General features: G+C 50.2%; 5 annotated features.

Moving 5' to 3' along the window:
• Window positions 4,566–4,795: a silencer, noted in NCBI's record as "silent region_5967". NCBI's record gives its function as "represses an Ori minimal core promoter by ATAC-STARR-seq in GM12878 lymphoblastoid cells {active_cell/tissue: GM12878}" and the evidence as "EXISTENCE:reporter gene assay evidence [ECO:0000049][PMID:35858748]".
• Window positions 7,883–8,062: an enhancer, noted in NCBI's record as "active region_8795". NCBI's record gives its function as "activates an Ori minimal core promoter by ATAC-STARR-seq in GM12878 lymphoblastoid cells {active_cell/tissue: GM12878}" and the evidence as "EXISTENCE:reporter gene assay evidence [ECO:0000049][PMID:35858748]".
• Window positions 8,443–8,672: an enhancer, noted in NCBI's record as "active region_8794". NCBI's record gives its function as "activates an Ori minimal core promoter by ATAC-STARR-seq in GM12878 lymphoblastoid cells {active_cell/tissue: GM12878}" and the evidence as "EXISTENCE:reporter gene assay evidence [ECO:0000049][PMID:35858748]".
• Window positions 8,683–8,742: an enhancer, noted in NCBI's record as "active region_8793". NCBI's record gives its function as "activates an Ori minimal core promoter by ATAC-STARR-seq in GM12878 lymphoblastoid cells {active_cell/tissue: GM12878}" and the evidence as "EXISTENCE:reporter gene assay evidence [ECO:0000049][PMID:35858748]".
• Window positions 8,753–8,952: an enhancer, noted in NCBI's record as "active region_8792". NCBI's record gives its function as "activates an Ori minimal core promoter by ATAC-STARR-seq in GM12878 lymphoblastoid cells {active_cell/tissue: GM12878}" and the evidence as "EXISTENCE:reporter gene assay evidence [ECO:0000049][PMID:35858748]".

The raw sequence follows: 12,516 nt of genomic DNA, 5'->3' as shown, positions 1-12,516 counted from the left end.
CAGAAAGCGCAGCCTTGGAGGATAGACTGGAAGTGGGAGAAACTGGAGGTTGAGGGACCTGGTAAGAGGCATGTACTATATCTCAGTGAGATGTAACCGGGATCCGGGTGGGGATAGTGGTTGTGGGATGGTAAAGAGGGGAAAGATATCAGAGGCACTTCACAGACATGGAGCATGAGTAGAGGAATGCTAGGGAGGGGGCCCAAGATGGCCCTGAAGGTGAAAACGGGGTGATTGTTAGGAGGATTGGGGTGGAAAAGATTGTGACACTAGGGTTCAGGGCCATCTCATGCACTAGCCTCTGTCGTTGGCCCGTCAGATGGCAGTTGATGGTGTCATTCTTAACTAACCACTCTGCGTCCATGGAGGAAGGGGTTCAGGGACATCTGCCAGTCATTCTTTACAGCACAGCTCTCTGACTCCCACAGCAGGGGTAGAATCATCTGTCAGTGCCAATAGAGATCATGGGTCCTCAGGCCCATGTGCTGGAGTGAGATGCTTTCCATCCAGAAAGTGGGTACACTCTGCTTTGACCCATGCCCTAGTGTCAGATTAGGCAAGGCAGGAACTGCCTCACTCTAAGCTCCAGGAACCCAAGGAGTTTTGGAAAGACAACAAACTTGAGGAGACTTCAACCCAGGTCCCCCTCCACTGTAACAAGTCAGTCCTTAGGTCCCAGGGACCATCTGTTAGCCAGTCTTTCTCCTTAGGAAGATGACTGTCCTTGTTACTGTCCATGCATTTGGTCCTCCAAATACTGTGGCTTTTGTCTGTACCCAGTGTCCTCCAACTGGCCTCATTGCTCATGAGATTCCCCCTCATCTCCCTCCTGCCCTGCCTCTCAGCATGCCCTCGGGGATGCTTGGGAAGCAGCCCCTCCTGCCAGGAAGAAAAGGAAGGATGGGCAGGGAGAGAGGAGGCATTTCTCCTAACTTATCTGAGACACGTTAAAGATGAGGCAGAACCTTGGGCCTGCTCACCAGCCACAGTGAGCCTGCTGGTGGGGGCGGGAGGTGTCTGGGAGTAGCTCAGTTGCTCCTGGTGTTGGCCTCTGCTTCTGCTCTCATTCCCCTCTCTATTCATGGTACTGGCCCAGCTCCTCCACTCATTCTTCAAAAACATTCATCGATGCTGACTCTATGCCAGGCATGATGCCAAGAACCAGGAATGCAAAGATGAAAGAGACCCAGTACCTGATCTCAGGGAGCTCACTAGGAAGAGAACAAATTGCAGATGGTTGTGATTCAGTGGCATGAAAGTGCCGATGGGAGGACAGGGTGCTACAGAAGCCTGGCGGAGAGCACTTACTTTACCAGGGCGGACCTGAAGGCTTCCCAGAAAAGGCAACATCTGGGTCATGCAGGATGAATAGGAGGGGGCCAGGCAGAAAAGCAGGGCTGTGGGTGGGAGTGGAGGTAGGAGGGACTATACAGAGGCAGAGATACCAGGTGGTTTCTGGGAATTGCAAGTCTGCATTTAGGAATGGTGGGATGTGAGCACATACCTGCAGCCACAACTGCAGGTTTGTCCTCAGGCCACGCTCCCCATGGACCCTGCCTCCTTCCTCTGATCACTTCTTAGAAAACCCTAACTCACACCAGCTCATGGTGTCCGTTTGGATGAGTCAAGCATGAACTGATGTCTAGTTTTTCTAAAGGATCCGCAAGTCTCCAGGTTGGCGATCAAAGGTAGAAGGTTAAGTTCATTTTCCAGAGAATCAGCCCAAAGATGCTAGAGCTCACCTGGGAACATCAGAGATTCCTAGTCTTCTCTGGGCCCAAAGAGGGGTCTCTGGGAGCTCCCCATCACTCTTGCCTTCCTGCACAGCCTCAGCAAATGGCATTGGAAGGACACCATTCCTAGCAAGATGGCTTCCAGGACTTACAATAGAACTGGAAAGGCTGGAACCCTGAGATGTAAGCAGTGACCTTTTGTTATGTACAGTGCCCCATCTGGACTGGCAAGGCAGCTCTCTGCGTGGACCTCTGCACCCTGGTGGGCACCTCCCCACATCCTGTAACCTGGTGGCCCCAGCATGCCTCCTCCTTTAGCCTAGGCCCCTCCCAGCCCCTCCTCCACATCGCACTTCTCCATAGGACCTTTCTTCAATTGGTCCAGCCCCCTGGAAACCTTCTATTTCAAACTCCCACTACTGTTGGCAGCTCTCTGTCACTCTTACTCTCTCCTGTAGGTTTTGTCTCCTAACTACTGCATGCCCTTGGAAAGCAGAAATGGAGATGGTGGAATCCTTTAGTTTCCCCCTGTCCCTAGCATGGTGTAGGACACTAACATTGTTGATACAGTCATTCTACTGCTGGTAACAATGACCAAGATTTGCTGAGCCTTCCCTACATGCCAGGTGCTTGTCCTGTACACACTTTATCTGTATTAACTCATGTATTCCTCATAGCAATCCTACAAGGTATGTTTTATTATAACCCTGACGTTCCAGGTAAAAAAATAAATAAATAAAGGCACAGAGAGGTTGTGTAATTTGCCCAAAGCCTGAAGCTAGTATGTGGCAGAGCCAGGATTCAAACCCAGGCTGCCTGCTCCAAGGTCTATTTAACACAGCACTAGACTGTCTTTCCATTGTGGAATATTACAGACACACAATACATTCCCTGCTGAAAATTAACAAGGAGCCAAGTTTCTACTCATTCATTCATTGATCTGTTCATTCAACATGTTTATTGAGCACCTACTATGTAACAGGCACGGGTGGATACAGAGAAAGGAAGTAGGCTCAGCTTGTGCCTTGCAGAGCTAACAGTCAACTGCTTATGGTGACTTTGCCGGGAAAATGGGGGTCCCTAGATCTTTCCCAGCTAAGGATTATGGGCAGATTGCCCTGGATGAAAATACTTCTTCCAGGGCAGAGCATCAGTGGAGGTTACTGTCTAAGGACAGTCAGGGCTGAGGCTCAAGGATGATACCTAGTCAGGGAAAACGCCCAAGCTCTTTCTAGATGGCAGTCCTCCCAGGCGGTGTTGGGGTACCTGCAGGAGGGAACCAGACCCTGGCAGAGGGCCAAGCACAGCCCAGCACACTTCTACCCCCATCCTTGCAGACCAGGACACGGAGCCACCAAAGACTCTAAAATGAAAGTAGGGTGTGAGGAGGAAAACACCTGCAGAGCCTGTCTATGACAGAGGAAAAACTCTCCAGAGAGGGCAACAGACAGCTACTGAAGTGGGGTTGTATGTGAGGGTACCCCCATGGAAGGCCAAAAAGCTGTGTAGGAGGGGACCAGGGGGCTGACCTGGAACTCAGAGAGGAGCAGAGCTGGCGCTGAGGCCTTCCAAAGAGGCAGTCCTCTGTGTGGGCTTCTCCCCAGCCTTCCTGTCCCCAAATACCCCTTTCTGGCTGGCTTGTGATGCCTGAAATTCCCCTACCATGAATGTGTCCTTCAAAATAGTATTTTGGCTCCCCAGGCCCTTTGTTTCAAATTCTGGGAGGTATTTGCCACCAAATACCTTGAAATGAGGCTGCCTTCTTTTTCTGATTGACAGCTGCGATGTGGCCAGAAGCTGTCTGAAGGGGTGATTTTAGGTAGAGGGGAGGGGAGAGTGGTGCCCAAGGTGTGAGGTACTCTGTGGGGAAGGAGGCCCTGCGGGATGTGGTGACCCTGGGCAGGGCAGGCCAGAGGGGCAAGGACTGAGGTGGCTGGGGTGCAGGACTGAGCAGGACTGCTCCCAAGTCCTCAGTCAGTAAGTGGCATCCTGGAAAGATCACACTGTGAACCCGGAGTACCCAGTGGTTCTGAATCCCTGCGTGACCCTGGGCGGGTCACTGCCCTCCGTGAACACTGGACTCGCTCTTAGACTTGGCGAGGATTGCACACACCTGGCCCTCAATGGGGCACATACCTTTTACTTTGCCACAGACTCCCCCAACCATTGCCCAACCCAGAGCCACCCCACACTCTACCCTTGGCTATCTGGCCCCTGAAGGCTTTGAGTTTGTGACCCCTGAAAGCCAAGCTTCAAGAGGGCTCAGTTTTAGTTCCGACTGTGCCCTGGATGGGCTGCGTGACCTTCCACAAGCCCCTGGGCCCCATTCCGCAAACCTTCCACGTGGCCAGCGTGCGGTGCGGGGAGATGGTGGTGGGAAGTGGGAATACGACTGAACAGCTGGAAAGACAGGGGAGGGGAACTGACATGAATTGGATGCCCCAAGCAGCAGAGGTCACCAGCAGCAGGAGAAGGACGGTTCTTGCGTTTGCTCAAAGACCTCAAGGATTGCTGTCTTGTTCCAGGTGGAAAGAGAGGGAGGAGACCTGGGGAAGGAAGCCAGGAGGCGCAGCTAAGGGGCAGCGCGGCCCCTCCACCTGACCCGCCGGCCGCCGAGGGCAAAAATTCCCTCGCAGGTGCCGGGTACTTAATAAACAGACTAGCAGGGGCGGGGGGCGACGGCTCGCCGGAGAAAGGATTTAATTAGCAACGCTTTCGGGAGAGAAAATTAAATTACAGGAAGCAGTGGTGCCGGCTGCGGACCACAAAGACCACAGAATCCCGAAGCCGATTCCTCAGACCCCTGCGCGTGTCGGGACCACCTTTCCATCGCCCCAGCCGTGGGATGAAGGCCGCGCAGCGTGGGGCGTCTGTCTGGGCTCCGGCTGCGACGCCGTCGCGCGTGGCCTCCCCGGCACCCGCCAGAGCCCGCGGCCGTGGCTCGGGCCCGCCGGGAGGGGGCGCCGTCGGGCCTCCGCGCTCCACTCTCCCGGCGCGCGCGCCCCGCGCTTGGCTGCCAGTGTTGGCTGCGCGGGGACCGCGGGCCGCAGCCAACCTGGGTCTGCCTCGCCTAGCCCGAAAGGGCGAGATCATGGGCCCAGACTCTTGATGCCAGCAGTGGTCTTACTCGAAACTCATCTAAGCGTAAGGTGAGGAGAATCGGCCTGATGAGTGGGCGGCAGGTAGTGCAGGACACTGCAGTCTTGTCCACGGCCCGGGCCCCGCGCATCACCGCGTCTCCGAGAGCGCGCTCCGAGCCCAGCCCCTCCTGGGAGGTTCTTAGCCCTCATGTGCCACCGCGGTCCAGGGACCCACCTCCTCTCTGTCTCCTGGCGGGTTTTCTATTTGTCACAATAGCGACCATTCCTGAGCTCCCGCTAGAACCAGGCCTGGTGAGTGAGTACTTAGCTTAGGGAAGGCACCAAGCCCTGTGCGGTGTGATTTTTAGCCCTGTTCGGCGGAAGAGGAAAAGGAAACGAGCTCAGAGAGGCTGAGAAAGTCGCCCAGGAACACACAGCTGGGAAGACATTGAAATCCACATCCCATTGGCTTCTGAGCTCTTCCCCAGCAGGGGAGCGCCCGTTTTTCATTCTCAGTCTCTAGCACAGAGCCTCGCACGTGGGTGCTCAGGAAGGATTTGTTGAAGGAACGGCAGATTTTTCCTTGTTTGTCAAAGGGGGTGCTCATAGCTGAGGGGTGTGAGGATTAAATGAGATGGTGTGTGTAAAACACCTGGCTGTGCACTTGGAGCACCGTGAGCAATTAGTAAAAGCTGGTGCCAGTGTTAATGAAACTCGACAGTGCGGGGAAACACTGGGGACTTTGGTAAAATGTAGATTCTGAATCAGCAGGGCCTGTGACTCTGCATTTCTCATAGGCTCCCAGGTGTTGGCGATACTGCAGATGACAGTTACTTCGCTGTGTGGAACTGGTCCCCACGCCTCCTCACCCCAGCCCCAAGTCCAATCCCCCACAAGGGACCCACTGCAATTATTCCCAGCTTTGTCTGCCTATCTGCAATCCCCTGAGGAGCTTTAGAGAATATCCATGGGGGTGGGGGAAGGCAGGTCTTTTCCCCAGAGTCTGACAGGTCTGGGATGTGACCTGTGCATGTTCAAAGCTCCCTAGAGGTTTCTGCTACACAGTCAAGGCTAGAACCGCTATAGGGGAGGTGTCCGAGGAAGGCAGTAAGTGAGCAGAGGTTTGAGGAAGTTCACCTGATGCAGGTGTGGAGGACAGATTGTGCAGGAGCCTGGAGGCTGAGTCACCAGCTAGGAGGCTGGGCCAGCTAGGAGGCTGGATCTGGCTAGGGTAGGGCTGATTCCTCCATAGCTCCCCACCCACCAGCTGTATAACTCTAAAGGAGGGTGAGGACTGGGACAGGCTGGGGAGAGCTGGAGCGCATGCTTGGCAGGTATTCTGCAGGGTGTGTGCAAAGGAGGGGCTCTGTTCTGGGTGCAGCAGGGTGCCAGAGGTAGGCAGGGAGCTGGGTTGTTTTGCTGGCCACTGCCTGTATGTACAAAGTGGAAGGCTGGCCTTGGACTGAAGCCAGCTCAGAGAGCCCAGTCCTTGTTCTTGGAATGGCACAATTCACTTGCAGTAGCAATCTTATTATTGTTTACTGAGCACCCACCATGTGAGGCCACTGTACTATATACTGTACATTAAGGCACAACAATATTTCAGAGTTGACGGTAACTTAACAAATGAGGAAACAAGGTGCAGAGAGGTTATATAACTTGCTAGGATCACACAGAGACCAGATCAAGATCTAAAGCCATGATATTTCCATCTCACCAAGATGTCTGTACTCCTGCTCTTTCCTTTGGCTAAAACGCTATTCCCCTTCCTCTCTATACCTGTATCAGGTGAACTCCCTTAAAACCCCTCTGCTCACATTACTGCTCTCCTATGTTGTCTCTATGTAACTGAAATAATCCCTAAAAGTTGTGTTCTTCATCTCAAATGAAAGGGCTGTTTGCAAATGGCTGACCAGGCACGGACAGCTTATGGAAGCTCTACCCTATGCCAAGGCTGAGATCTCAATCACTACTTAGATCTCAATCATCGTGAGTTCCTCTCAAGGTCTCAGGGAGCTCCTGCAGCTCTGGTCTGTGATTTTCCTTGGGCACCAGGCACAACCTTGCGTCACTACTTTTCCTGTGGGTCATGACTCCTGGCTCAGATGCCTAGGCTCCAAGGCCAGGGACCACATGTATCTTTCTATAGACCTGGGCCTCAACAACTGTTTGTTGCAGCCAGAGCCAGGACTAGGGTAAGTCAAGCAAGGGGTCATGTGTATGCTTATGCTGGCGGCAGCTGGGGAAAGCAGATGCAGGTGCTGTTGTTGTGGGTGAGCTCAGAAGTCTGAAGGTGGGTCGCTCAACGGGATAATCTGCTGCTGCTAACTCCCTCCTAGTGTGCTTGGGTGTGTTGGGGTGGACTTATAGTTTCATATTAAGGACTCTTGCCCTAATCAAAGGGTGCTAACCCCAAAGGTTATTAAAGCATTATCTTTGAAATGAGTAGGACATATCACCTTGTCTAGGCTTACGCACCCAGCTTTGGATGTTTAAGACCTACAGAGACCAAAACTGTCAAAGGGGCAATTGACTAACTGATTGTCATTGCTACCTCCCACAAGACTAGAAGGAGGGACCAGGTCTGTTTTAGCCACCATTTTATATCCACAGCTCAGTCAGCAGCTGGGACATAAACGTGTTGAAAATGTGTTTCCTTGAAATAATAATGACAATGCTTTGGTCAGGTAAGCTGCAGGAATCATTAATACTTTCAGAAGAAGGAGAAATGTTCGGGTTTTGGAATACAATTTTGGGAGGAAAGGTGTGAAAATCTGAGTGACAAGGACCATGTTTTTGAGGATTTTTAAAGGTCCCCAAAGTGGGACCTACCCCAGGGCTGACCTGTGGCCTTGTGTTGACTGGTGCCTGCTCACCTCTGATCCTGTGGGTCCAAGAACCTTTTTTTCCCTTGAATTAAATATTTCTGCCATGTTGACTTTTTTTTTTTTAAATCATTCAGTGCATACTGTCCCACATGTCCTGATCCCCATGCAACTGGTGGGGCCAGGAGCCAGTCTTGGCCACGGGCTGAGCAGAAGTGACATTGTCACTGCAGCCCAACCTGACTAGTACAATCAGCAATGTTAGTAATTTACTAGCTAGGAGCTTCACGGCACAATTGATGTTTATAAAATGCTTCAAGAATAAAATCAGCACAGGCTGGAAAGCATGATACTTCTAAATACACCTTGCCAAGACAAGCATCAACTTGGATATCCTTTCAAAAAAATAAAAGGCTTTCACCTTGAAGTTCACTCTCTCGGCCTGTGAGAGCCCAGGGGACCATTATTGAAAACACACAGTCTAAACCATGCCTGTCACTGTTTTGTCGGGCTGTGGGTATCCGGGGCTGTTTGTTGTGACGGTTCACTGCCCTTTCTCTGTGTTTTGCTGAAGTGAAACTCATTTGCATTTCCTGAGCAGCCCAGTGATGAGAGGAGAGGCCCAGAAACCTTGCTGGAGCTCAGAGGGGAAGCAGAATGAAATGTTAACCAGCAGGACCACCAGGCTTCTGGGGCCAAGTTTTCCTGCCATTTTTGAAGACAATGCAGGACTCGTTGAGGTTGTGGTGCTCCATTTGTGTGTAACTTCTTTAGGCTTCTTCTCTTCCCCTGACTGGGCAATGTACTCACTTGTGCAAGGGTTGAGTGGAGATGATAATTTCAACCCAGCTCTCTGTAGAGACATGATTATTGTGGTTTACCATCTACAAGTGGTGGCAGGTCTTGATTTTTCAGGGCTTCTGGTTTTTCACTCTCACCCTCAAATGAAGGGCAGGCCCCATGCCAAGCGCTCCCATCTGTCCACCCAGCAGGCAGGGGCTTTGTGGGCTGTCCCCAGAGAATGGAGGCCTTTGCTCTCTTCTGTTATAAAGACACCAGGATGAACAAACATGCTTCCAAGGCCACTGCAATTTTTGGGATCTAGTGAGTCTGTAGGAAATGTAACGGCAGCTATTTTTACTCTCATGCTCTCCAGCCACTCTGACTGCCTTGCTGGAAGGATAATAATCACTCCACCTGCCAGGGCCCTCACAAGGGCTGGCCGCAGGATCCCACTTTCGGTTTTCATTCTCCTTCATATTCTAACAGCTTCCTCCCACTCCCTGGGTTATCTTCATATTCTATGGGCCCTTCTTGCTTTTTTGCTCAACTCATCTCCTCCAGCTGCTGTAATTTAAGGCAGGAACCATACAGACTGTTCTTTCAAGCAATTCTGTCTTGCATAACCATCCTTTAGAAAGAGATAGGAAAGCCATGTGTTTTAAGAATAAAGGGGGGCCAGGCACGGTGGCTCATGTCTGTAATCCCAGCACTTTGGGAGGCTGAGGTGGGCGGATCACCTGAGGTTGGGAGTTCGAGACCAGCCTGACCAACATGGAGAAACCCCATCTCTACTAAAAATACAAAATTAGCCGGGCGTGGTGGCACATGCCTGTAATCACAGCTACCCAGGAGGCTGAGGCAGGAGAATCGCTTGAACCCGGGAGGTGGAGGTTGCCATGAGCCGAGATTGCACCATTGCACTCCAGCCTGGGCAACATGAGTGAAACTCCGTCTCAAAAAAAAAAAAAAAAAAAAGTAAAAAGAAAGAAAATAAAGGAAGGATTCTGAGAGGAAAAAACCAAAATGGTCACACATGGACCCACAGAACAGCTCCTTCCAGGAAGCCAGTCAAAGAGTAACCATCCTGGGTTGATATTTTCTCTCCTCTCATTCACTGTAAATGAGATTTTGGTAGAAGACAGTCTTAATTATCCCAAGCAGTCACAACCCTGAAGGGGCTGAATGCCATCACTTGAATTCCATCACTGGGTCTGTGAGCGGCGAGGCTGCCTTGCTCCGTAGAGCAGTTTTAAAACACTTTTGAGACATCACTTTTTTGCGTTGCACCTTCATCTCAGGATGTCAAGTGCATAGCGAGGATTATGCCCCTCCTCTTTTGATAAAGGAAACTGACGTAGCAGAGGTAAAGGCTGCAGGAGCTAGGGCACAGTCGTTGTTTTCTTCTGCCTCTTTCTCTCAGGGATTCTGATTGTGCTGTGTCACCCAGGCAGACTTCTCATCTCTAATCTCTCTTCTGGTGTAGATGAAAGGTTGACCCAAAAGGCTTGGACCAGAATAAAGACCTCACAAAGTATCACTGCATCTATGTCATCTCTGACTAGTGACAGTGAAAATAATGTTAAATCAACCCAAGTGGTTCTGTTTTTCGTTTGGCTTTTTTGTGAGACAGGGTTTTTGTCACCCAGACTGGAATGCAGTGGCATGATTTTGATTCACTGCAACCTCCGCCTCCTGGGCTCAAGTGATCCTCCCACCTCAGCCTCCAGAGTAGCTGGGACTACAGGTGTGTGCCACCACACCCAGCTAATTTTTGTATTTTTTAGAGAGACAGGGTTTCGCCATGTTGCCCAGGCTGATCTCAAAGTCCTAGGCTCAAGCAATCCATCCACCTCGGCCTCCTGAAGTGCTGGGATTACAGGCATGAGCCACTGCACGCAGCCCCAAATTGTTCCTTAAAACACATGAAGAGGCCAGGCACGGTGGCTCATGCCTGTAATCCCAACACTTTGGGAGGCTGAGGTGGGCGGATCACGGGGTCAGGAGATCAAGACCATCCTGGTTAACACGGTGAAACCCCGTCTCTACTAAAAATACAAAAAAAAAAAAAATTAGCGGGCATGGTGGTGGGCACCTGTAATCCTGGCTGAGGAGGCTGAGGCAGGAGAATGGTGTGAACCCGGGAGGTAGAGCTTGCAGTGAGCCGAGACAGCGCCACTGCACTTCAGCCTGGGCAACAGAGCGAGACTCCGATTCAAAAAAAAAAAAAAAAAAAAAACGAAGAAACATCATCCCTGGTTGTGCAGAGAGAAGTCTGAAAGGAAATAAGCTAACTAACACTCTCCCAAATACAAAAGTTACCTTCTTCATCTCAAATGAAATGAAAGGGCTGTTTGCAGATGGCTGACCAGAAAAGGAGATGATCTGATTTAACCCCAAATCATTCTCCTTTTGGGCCAGTAAGAATTCTTTGAGACCAGGTTTTTACATGGGAGGTAGTAAATCCACATTAGCTGCAACAAGATAATCATATGAAAGGCAACACCAATGCAGACTGGCAAAGAGCTTCTCCCAGAGTTCCATACAAAGAAGTTAAAAATCTGACAGAACACCGTACTATAAAACCATCTTACTGGAGGCCCTCAGAACCTCTTTTCTAAGCACCCCATGTTTTAAAAAATTTAAGCACCTGGGTGCGGTGGCTCACGCCTGTAATCCCAGCACTTTGGGAGGCCGAGGCGGGTGGATCACCCTGCCAAAATTCTCAGGAATTCGAGACCAGCCTGGCCAACATGGTGAAACCCCATCTCTACTAAAAATACAAAAACTAGCTGGGCGTGGTGGCACACGCCTATAATCCCAGCTACTTGGGAGGCTGATGCAAGAGAATCGCTTGAACCCAGGAGGCAGAGGTTGCAGTGAGCCGAAATCATGCCATTGCACTCCAGCCTGGACGACAAGAGCAAGACTCCGTTAAAAAAAAAAATTAATCTATTAATTCTATGGCTCACCTGTAACACAACTATAGATCTTACAAAGGTTAGCACTGCGATTAAACTTCAAGGTAACTAATTCAAATTCTTCATCATTCAGCTGAGAAGAGTGACATCTAGAGAGAGGTTAAGTGACTTATCCAAAGTCACTGAGTCAATGAGTAGTAGATATGACATGTGAATGTAGGTCTTTAGACCCCATCACACCAGGCTACAATCTGCAGGGATGCCATAAAAAAATGTGGATGAAACATGTTTGCAAACAGGCCGTCCTAAGGGGCAAGCGTTTCCACATACAGGAATCACGCCCAGGGGTGAGGAGCTGCAAACGCAAATAACTGGGTTCTCTTGAGCCTCTGAGGCTCAAATTTTTGTGCTCCCTCCCTTCTCTGGATTCCACTTCTTAAGGAAGGATGGTTCTCTTTATTTCAGAAGGGACCTTCTCTAGCCATATTTACCTATTTTTTGTTTCTTACTAGTGGCCTTACAGCTACATTTTAAAAAGCCACTTAGACAATTGTATAGGACAGAAATAATACTAGAAGAATTCGACTATGACAACCCTCCAGGCTTTTAGTGAGGTCAGCTTTTCATTTCCCCAGTGTCTTAAAGATCCCAGAAAGGGGCTCCTGACTGGCCTGGGAAACAGGGAGGACTCCACATGTCTCCCTGTTGAGATCTTCTAGGTGAACCCTGACAAGGAGCAAGGCTTGAGGAGGCAAAGGGGAAGGCATGGAGGTGTGCTTGCTAAGGACCACTGTGCTGTAGAAAAAACTTCGCTTACTGTGGCTTTAGTTTATCCCGGTATACAATTATAGTAGCTTTGTCACTTAAAAGTTCTATTTGTGAAAGTGTCAATCAGATGGAAGAAATCACTGGACTATCTTCACCTCTCACTCCTCCCAACCTGCCCAGTATAAGCCTCCAAGGCTCCAGAAAACAGGGGACTACTCATTTGCCATAAGGCTACTCATATTTCAAGTTCACACCAGTGAAAATCTGAGCAATGAATTTCCACATGTTCAGTGTCTAATCCCAATATTCCCAAATAACATGAGTACCTATGTTTAACATTTAAATCAGTTCAAATATTTACTCCAGGTTCACTCAGTATTTTTAAGCAGTTATAAAGCAAAAAGGCCAA

Source organism: Homo sapiens, chromosome 14 (genome assembly GCF_000001405.40).
Source record: "Homo sapiens chromosome 14, GRCh38.p14 Primary Assembly".
Taxonomy (NCBI): domain Eukaryota; kingdom Metazoa; phylum Chordata; class Mammalia; order Primates; family Hominidae; genus Homo; species Homo sapiens.
This window is presented reverse-complemented; position numbering and strand designations above follow the sequence as displayed.